Raw genomic sequence first — 9,434 nt, 5'->3', positions numbered from 1 at the left:
GTGGTGAGTGATGGGGCAGTGGCGGGAGTTTTCCCACCTCCAGAGTGACATTCGAGACCCCTCCCCGGCTGACTCCTGCAACCACGGTCACCACTGTTTACAAAGACCCTGCCCAGCCTTCCTGGGTGCAGGGTCCCATTGTTCCTCCTGCCTGCAGCGCCTGTCGCCCTCCCTTTATTGTCGCTCAGTCCCCCTTGTCAGCTCGGAGGTGCCTTCCCAGACCTGCCCGGGGCTCCCTGGGCTGCCACTGCATGCCGCCTGTTTTGTGGAAGAGCACCTCGCTGTCTTTTCTGCTTGCAGACCTGGGAGTGCAGGAAGCATGTCATCTTCCTCTTTCAGGCCCCAAATCTGTGGATGTTGCTGGACCATAATAAATGATTGTTGAGGCCGGGTGCGGTGGCTCACGCCTGTAATCCCAGCACTTTGGGAGGCCGAGGTGGGTGGATCACCTGAGGTTGGGAGTTTGAGGCCAGCCTGACCAACATGGTGAAACTCCGTCTCTACTAAATACAAAGTTAGCCATGCGTGGTGGCGCATGCCTGTAATCCCAGCTACTTGGGAGGCTGAGGAAGGAGAATCACTTGAACCCAGGAGGTGGAGGTTGCGGTGAGCCAAGATTGTGCCATTGCACTCCAACCTGGGCAACAAGAGTGAAACTCCGTCTCAATAAAAAATCATAATAAAAAAATAAATAAATGATTGTTGAGTGCATGTATGGTTAGAGACGTGCACTGTGGGGCAGGAAAGCTGCCTTTGAAAGTGCCACAGACCAACTGGTGGCATTTTGGTAAGGAGAAAGTGGCATGAAGCCCACAGTCCAGATTCTGGATCCAGATGCAAGCCCTGTGATTTCTGGGCTGCCTGAATCTTCTGACCCTCTGCTCCCTTACACAGAACGAAGATGACAATATCTACCTCAGGCACTTGTGGGGATTCGATGAGGAAAATGACGGTAAAAATGCCAAGTATTGTGTTCTAAACCTAGGATAGGATTAATACACATTGGTGAATTCTTCAGAAATGGGAGATTCTGAATATATAAATTGTGATTCCCAATAATGACAAATCCCAAAGAAAAGTGAGAGATTGAGAAATAGAAGTTACCTGTTTTGGGAGTCTTCCGATTTCTTCAGATTTTTAACAAGAACGTTTGCATAAAACTCATGTTCATGAAAAACTTTCAGTAGCATGAGAAAATGGTTATGTTGTAAGAACCAAAAAAATAGGATTCAAAGCAGTAAGTACAGGCATGCAGCGTACTCACAACAAGACAAGCAGGAGCCTGTCTTTAATTTGTGTTGTTTGATTAGATAATCTGTTTACATGGCTGTGAATTCCAAAGGTACAAAATGTACTAGAACAGTCTGTCTCCTTTTTCTGCCCAAACACTCAGCAACCCCCCTGGTAGGCAATATATATTACTAGTTTTTTTCAAACTTCCCAGAGATATTTTATGCATAGCACATATCCTGTTGATGGGTATATTCTGTTCACCCCAATACATTATAATTTAGAGCAGACAACTCTAGCTCTCATCCCTAAGCAACCCAACCAAGAGGCAAAAACCCCAAAGATGTTACTAAAATCCTTTTCTCTCAAGGGGGAGGTTTGTACGATGTTTTCATTCAGTCCATTCAGTGGATAGATTTTACTTTTTGTTCGTGTTTAAATATTTCACCTTAAGGTTTTAAAACAAAGAGAAAAAGCCAAGCAGAAACCTTAAAGCTGAGACCTCAATATACATGTCGCCCAGGCTGAAGTGCAATGGTGTGATCTCAGCTCACTGCAACCCCCGCCTCCCAGGTTCGAGCAATTCTCCTGTCTCAGCCTCCTGAGTAGCTGGGATGCATGTGCCACCACACTTGGCTACTTTTTGTATTTTTAGTAGAGATGGGGTTTCGCCAGGCTGATCTCAAATCCCTGACCTCAGGTGATCCGCCTGCCTTGGCTTCCCAAAGTGCTGGGATTACAGGCATGAGCCACTGTGCCCGGCCTCAATGTGCATTTTTAAAATCTCAATTCATTAGAACCCTTACAAAGGTTTCTAGTGGTTAAGAGGCTGGGATACCAGATTGGACAACCTGGACCTAAACCCTGACTGAACCACTGTCTGACCTTGGGGGAGTTACTTAACCTCTCTGTGCCTTAGTTTCATCGTGAGGAAAATGAAGATAGTAAGAGTTCCTACCTCACAGGGTGGATATGAGGTTAAATGAGCAAATGTGTGAAACACTTAGAAGAGGATCTGGCACAGTTGAGAGTTTACTGTTGTCTTACCCTGGCTCTGCTAATTAAATAGCTGCAGGATATAGCCATTGAAGTATTTTTCTGTAAACAGGGAAACTTGGGCATTTGCATGTGTTTTCCAGGTCATTCCAATTCTAGCATCCTGTGATTCATAATTTATGTCACTAGCAAAAGCCTATGTCTTGTGCACAGTAGGGATTGCTGACTCAGGGTGCTGCTGCCGGCCAATATTCCAGAACTTGGGATTGGGAGCAGAAACTTTTGTCTCACGTTTTGACTCTAGCAAAAAAAAAAAAAAAAAGACTAATGAGTCATAATGTTTTAGGCATAAGACAGGTTATTCTGGAGAGGAGTGAGATCTTTAAAAAATGTTCATAAAATTAGTAATTGACTATGCACAATGAAATCATGTCATTATGTTCCAGAGATGACATATGTACTCGTATGTATGAGATTAAAGATGATGACAAATACTGACTCATGTCCACTGTGAAGGTGATCTTAACTTCCAGTAGCAGTGGAGCTGTTTGGGTTGGACAAAAATGATTGTTAGCGATGTGAGATGCTGGGATTACAGCATCTCCCTTCCAGATTTCAAAACGAAAATGCAGCTGCTTACACTGGCCTGTGCCACTCACTCCTCCTCCCAGCCATGCCTGGAGAACCTGACAAATGCCTTCAGGACCTGCTGAACAATAAGTACTGAAGTCTGATGGCCCAGGGCAGGGGGAAGCTCCCCTTCTCTAGGGTGCTGTTTGTCCTTGTTTGTGGGTGTCACCTGGGTGGGATTCTCCTGCCAGGGAATAAGCTGAGGAAGATGGGAGATTCTGGTTTCTATGGATACTGGACTAGCTGGGATTTGCATAACAGTTCAGAGAACAGACAGTCTGGGAACAATGTGGACCCAGGAGGAACATAAATGCACATGGAAACGAGTTGGAGGGTCTGGGCAGCCGGGTTGCATACAGCCCCCTACTAGGGACACGAATCCGTATCTTCCCCTGCTCTCTGGATAGGCAGCAGTGTGGAGCCCTGAGGATGGAGGGAGGTGGTGTGTGAGAAGTGCCCCAACCAGGGTATGGTACATACTTGGGGCTCAACAAATATTGGTGCTTTTTACTCTCTATCCCCTCTTAAGTTGGCTATAGGCGTGCAAAACCTCCCTTGTTTACTTAATAAAGCACCTCATGTAGGCTCTGTTTTAATCCCTACTACCTGAGCACTGTGTGAGATAGGCTTAAAAAAGAGGTCAGGGGGCTTGTTCAAGGTCACAGGACTAATCAGTGACAGAGCTGAACCTCAGACCCTAGTCTCCTGGTGTTACTGTCCCTAGATCTCAAAACATCTGGGTTTGCAGCAGTAAATGTGGTATAATCCAGGCAGTTCAGTTGATGAGGGGCTGAACTAAGATGGGGGTGTGGGGGTAAGGCAGGGGGTGTGGGGAGAAGTGGGCGATTAGAAATCCTGGAGGAGGTGGGATTACCAGGCAGACTGTGTACAGACTGGACCAGGTGAAGAAAGGGGGCTGCCAGGTTTTTGGCCTGAATGACTGGTGCTGGTCACTGCGGCGTGGTGAGGTCAGTGCCGTGTTTGAGGACATTGGGTGGAAGCACAGGGAAGGCCATTAGAGAGCTCAAGGCCATTAGAGAGCTCTGGAGTCCAGGATCTGCACGGGAGATACGGAGTCGTGTGGCACGGGCACATTTTAGAGGGGGGCTGAAGATTCAGGTTAAAGACTTACGAGGAGTGAATAGAGGCAGAATTGCAACCAAAGGAAGGCGGCGTAACAGATGCAAATACAAATACGTTGAACAGTGGTGTCAAAAGACCCCGAATTCAGATGTAAGGGGGATGGAAAGTAACATATTGACTCGTTTAAGATGGCATACAGCCTGCAGCCCCCAGCATGGCTTTGCCCAGTACCAGGGAAGACAGAAGCAAAGACGAAAACACCGATGACCAACAAAAAGTGATGGATGACCAGCCTACTGGCAGAAATTGGGGAGGATTTCCCCTATAAAGCCCATGGAGCCTGAGTTTCAGCAGCCACCCAGACACATGGAAAGCTTCTTTGTCCCTTCCTCCCTCTCCCCTGTCTACACCCTGAGGATCAGATGCCACTGAGGTTCCGATGTTGGACCTTTGGGGTCCAAAGAGGTGATCTGGGTGCTGCAGAGTCGTGCTCCTGGGTTACTCCTTGCAGCATGCCCTTTTGCTCTCTGAGAGCTGGGTCTCAGCTGTAGGAATTAAGGGAGGACTCCCACTCTGGGGCTCCAGGAACATCTGCAGCATGTGACAGGGGCACTTACTGAGCTTGACATTTGTTGAGTGAATGCCTAAACAATTGAATCAACCCCCAGGGAGAAAGTGAATTTGGGAAATGTGAAAGGGAAATAAATCTTGGGGCCCCCAAACCACCAAGCTAAAGGGAAAAGTCTAGCTGGGAACTGCTTATGGCCAACCTGCCTCACACTCCATTCAAAGTCATCCCTCTGCTCACTTAGATAAATGCGTATCTGATTGCCTTCTTTGGAGAGGCTAGTCAGAAACTCAAAAGAATGCAGCTGTTTGTCTCTCATCTACCCGTGACCTGGAAGCCCCCTCCCTGCTTGAGTTGTCCCGCCTTTTGGGACAGAACCAATGTACACCTTACATACATTGATTGATGTCTTATATCTCCCTAAAATGGATAAAACCAAGCTGTGCCCTGACCACCTTGGGCACATATCGTCAGGACCTCTTGAGGCTGTGTCACAGGCGCACATCCTCAACCTTGGCAAAATAAGCTTTTAAATTAACTGAGACCTGTCTCAGATTTTCGGGGTTCACAGAAACAAAAATTGAGCTGTGGGATCTAGCCATTCTCCTGAGCATCAGGGCATTATTTTAATTAAGGGAGTTTTCTGACATGTCCTAACTCTTTACTGTTCTCCAGCTGCTTTTTGAAGTGACCAGGAATCCTGTTTTCTTCTGTCCTTCATCCTGCAGCACCATCCTAGCGACTGCAAGCTCCAGGAAGCAACTGGGCAGAGAGAAGGGGGAACTGGTGGCAACATGGTGCATCCTGGGAGGTGGAATTCCTACAGGACAGTGCGGCAGGGATAGGAAGCACCTTTTCTGGTGTGCATGTGGGTTTTTTAGTTTATTGTTCTGTGCTTTTGTCAGTCCTCATTTTCATAGTTTCAGGAGTGCTATAGGCATAGAAGATTTTGCCTCCAGACAGCAGAGCCACCCGCTTTGATGCTGAGAGAGGCTGGGAGAGTGCTGGCAGCTGGGTTACCCCAACTGCTATTCATTGTACCCGTCTCATCTCTTGTGTGAGTTTTATGTGGAGCTGAGGGAATCTAGGATTTAGATTTCACCTCCTTTGGTGTTGAGTCTATTCATTAAAAACAACAGGCTGGGCGCAGTGGCTCACAACTGTAATGCCAACACCTTGGGAGGGCCAAGGAGGGAGGATCACTTGAGCCCAGGCATTCCAGACCAACCTGGGCAACAAGTGAGACCCCGTCTCTCCAAAAAATTTTTTAAAAATTAGCTGGGCATGGGCCGGGTGCAGTGGCTCATGCCTGTAATCCCAGCACTTTGGGAGGCCGAGGTGGGCGGATCACAAGGTCAAGAGATCGAGACCGTCCTGGCTAACACGGTGAAACCCCGTCCCTACTAAAAATACAAAAAAATTAGCTGGGCATGGTGGCGGGCACCTGTAGTCCCAGGTACTCGGGAGGCTGAGGCAGGAGAATGGTGTGAACCCTGGAGGCGGAGCTTGCAGTGAGCCAAGATCGCGCCACTGCACTCTGTCTCCAAAAAAAAAAAAAAAAAAATTAGCTGGGCATGGTGGTGTGTGTCTGTAGTCCCAGCTACATGAGAGGCTGAGGTGGGAGGATCTCTTGAGCCCAGGAGTTCGAGGCTGCAGTGAACTGTGATTACACCACTGGACTCCAGCCTGGGCGACAGTGAGACTCTGTCTCTTAACATAAATAAAATAAAAACAACATGGGGGCATGACAAAATACCACAGAGCAAAGGGGAGGAATTATCCTGAAGATTCTGTGGAAGAAAATAATCTCTTTAAAAGGCCATCTGCAGTACCTGGAAGGAAGCTTTGGCATCCTTAATAAGGAGTCGTCTCTTTAAGCAGGAACAGAGGGAGGAAGAGGACAGGAGGCTGAGTATGAGAAGGGAGTGAGTGAGATAGAGCAAAACTGCAAGGAAACTGAGAAGAACACAGTGGACTTGAAACTCATAGAAGAGAGAGTCAAGAACAGAGCTGTAACCAAGATTGAGAAAAATGGAGTAAGCAACATGGAAGACAAATTTGAGAAACATTCCCAGAAGACAGGGAGAGGGGAAAAAGAAAGAGGAGGGGAGGGAAGGGGAGGAGAGAGAGGGGAGGGGGAGGATTAAAGTCTAACAAAAATTATAAGAAAAAAATAACAAATTAAAACTGAAATGACTGATAGAATTGAAGATTGGAAGTGCTTGTCACATTCCAAACAAATTCATGGCAAATACTTTGAATTATAGGATACAAAATAAATTGTAATAACATCCAGGGCTACAAAGCAAAACAACACAATAAAAACCTAGCAATTACCAAGGAATAAAAATCAGTCTGCTTTGCCAAAAGACAAATAATGGGAAAATATGTACAGGATTTTGAGCAAAGATTGTGAATCATCTGGAATTTTATATCCAGACAAGTTGTGCAAAGGTAAAATAAATGACATTTTCAAAATGCAAGGATTCAGAAAATATGCCATAAATGAACCCCACTTGGAATAATTTGATTGAATAAGTGTTATATTGCAAATGTCAAAAGTTTTTCTTGGAAGAGATGATATATAATGTTAAATAGAATTTAATAACAGTGATCATGTTATATAACTCCAGATTATAGTAACCAAACCCAGAAAATTTGGAGGCAAGGGAAGTAAAGTTTCTTAAATCCCCATATGGAGGAAAAGAGGTGGGAAGCAACAGAATTCTTTTTAAAATACTGTTTTATTATGTATTTCTGATATTGAAACAAGTATATGTTGAAAGCTTGCTTTCAGGGATCACTAAAACACTGGAGACTTTTAAAACAGCGTACATACTTTTCTTCCAAAACATGAAAAAATAGAGAAGGAAAAAAGTCTATGCAGAAAGAATGACAACAAATGAAATAGTCACCAAAGAAAATGTCGTCATTGCTATCCAGCAGATACACATTATCTAAATATTCTTATTAAAAACTAAGATTCTCAAATTTTAAAAACCCGATAATCAGCTTCTGATAAAAAATATCTCAAAATAATGACCAACGGAATCACAGTACCAAGGAGTCTGGTTTCTAACAAAACAGATCCAAACAGAAAACAGGATGGTGATAATTTCAGGCAGGAGTTCAAAGGAAAAGGGTAAAATGAGATATAAAGAGATTTTTTTTCCTGGAAAAAAAAAAAGCCATCAAATACATAAGGCAAGTTCTTTGACATACACTGAAAGTTTGGTGGTATAATGATTACCTAAAAACTCAAAAGAATCAACTGATAAATAATAAAAGACTTGGTGAAGTGAATTCAAATGACATTAATTTATAAATAGGAACACTCTTGATATCAGTAATATCCAGGAAGAAAATATACTGGAAATAAGACTCCATTCATAATAGCAACTGAAATATAAAACTACCTTGAGTTAAAATTTAAAACAGAACTATGAAACTTTACTGAAATCTAAAAAACTAATTAGAATAAGCAGACAGTTATAACTCAAAATACCTAGAGGTCTGGTTTTGAAATTAGACAAAGTGATTTTTATTTAATTTGGAATAACAAGAAAAATGTTAAGCAAGGTATTTTTAGGAAAACAAAATGATAATTTCACTAAGATTTATCTTAAGGAAATATTCAGATATTAGGACAAGAAAATATGTACAAAAGATCCATCGTTCATCATGGAATTATTTAAAATAGAAAATAGTTGAACATAATCTAAATATACAACAATAGGGGAAGAGTTCAGTACATTATTCCATATGCTGGAATGCTACGAAGCCGCTTAAAAAACAGACACATGCACACATATGTTTATTGCAGCACTATTCACAATAGCAAAGACTTGGAACCAACCCAAATGTCCAACAATGATAGACTGGATTAAGAAAATGTGGCACATATACACCATGGAATACTATGCAGCCATAAAAAATGATGAGTTCATGTCCTTTGTAGAGACATGGATGAAATTGGAAATCATCATTCTCAGTAAACTATCACAAGGACAAAAAACCAAACACCGCATGTTCTCACTCATAGATGGGAGTTGAACAATGAGAACACATGGACACAGGAAGGGGAACATCACACTCTGGGGACTGTTGTGGGGTGGGGGGATGGGGGAGGGATGGCATTAGGAGATATACCTAATGCTAAATGACGAGTTAATGGGTGCAGCACACCAGCATGGCACACGTATACATATGTAACCAACCGGCACATTGTGCACATGTACCCTAAAACTTAAAAGTATAATAATAATTTAAAAACAACATAAAATTTAAAAAAATTAAAAAAATAGAGAATATTTAAAGAGAGGAGGAAATGCTCACTTGACTAAAGCCAAACCTAAAACTATAGTCAGTGCGATGCCAAATTTGTAAATCTATCATATTTTAGATATTGTAAGCCATGGATATCTTTGGATGCTGTTTGCACGGTTGTTGACCCCTACCCCCAGACTCCGACTCCTCTGTTTTCTAGAATGAGAAGCGTGACATTTATAGTGAGAAAGGGTCGCGGTATGAAAACGCCAGTCTGTTAGGTTTGGTTTAGTAGGTGCTTCTTGGTGCCCTGGACACAGGGTTTTCTTTTAAGAGTTGCGAGGCTATGAGGAAGCCTCACCACAAGCGAGAGCGGGCGTAACCCCTGAGCAGAGTCCCAAGAGAGAGGAAGAGAAAAATATGGGGACAAAGGAAAGTCGCTGCCTTGACTCATTAGCAGGACGCAGTCACCTCCTGAGAAACAAGTGGCGAAGTTCCCCGGAGAGAAACTGGTGACGCCCCAGAAGAGAGGGGCTGGGGGAGGAACTAGAGTGGGAAGGGGCCCTCGCTAGGCACAGCCCAGAAGGTCCGGGTATGCAGGACGGGCGCCCGAGGAGCTCAGCCGGCTGCGTACAGAACGGCAACTACTACTACCCAGCGG

The 9,434-nt window shown here is 44.1% G+C and overlaps 1 annotated feature.

Annotated features, from left to right (window-relative positions):
- Positions 8,698–9,200: an enhancer, noted in NCBI's record as "NANOG-H3K27ac hESC enhancer chr8:27132319-27132821 (GRCh37/hg19 assembly coordinates)". NCBI's record gives its function as "activates a minimal SCP1, AML or CMV promoter by ChIP-STARR-seq in primed H9 embryonic stem cells {active_cell/tissue: H9 hESC(primed)}" and the evidence as "EXISTENCE:reporter gene assay evidence [ECO:0000049][PMID:30033119]".

This window comes from Homo sapiens, chromosome 8 (genome assembly GCF_000001405.40).
Source record: "Homo sapiens chromosome 8, GRCh38.p14 Primary Assembly".
Taxonomy (NCBI): domain Eukaryota; kingdom Metazoa; phylum Chordata; class Mammalia; order Primates; family Hominidae; genus Homo; species Homo sapiens.
This window is presented reverse-complemented; position numbering and strand designations above follow the sequence as displayed.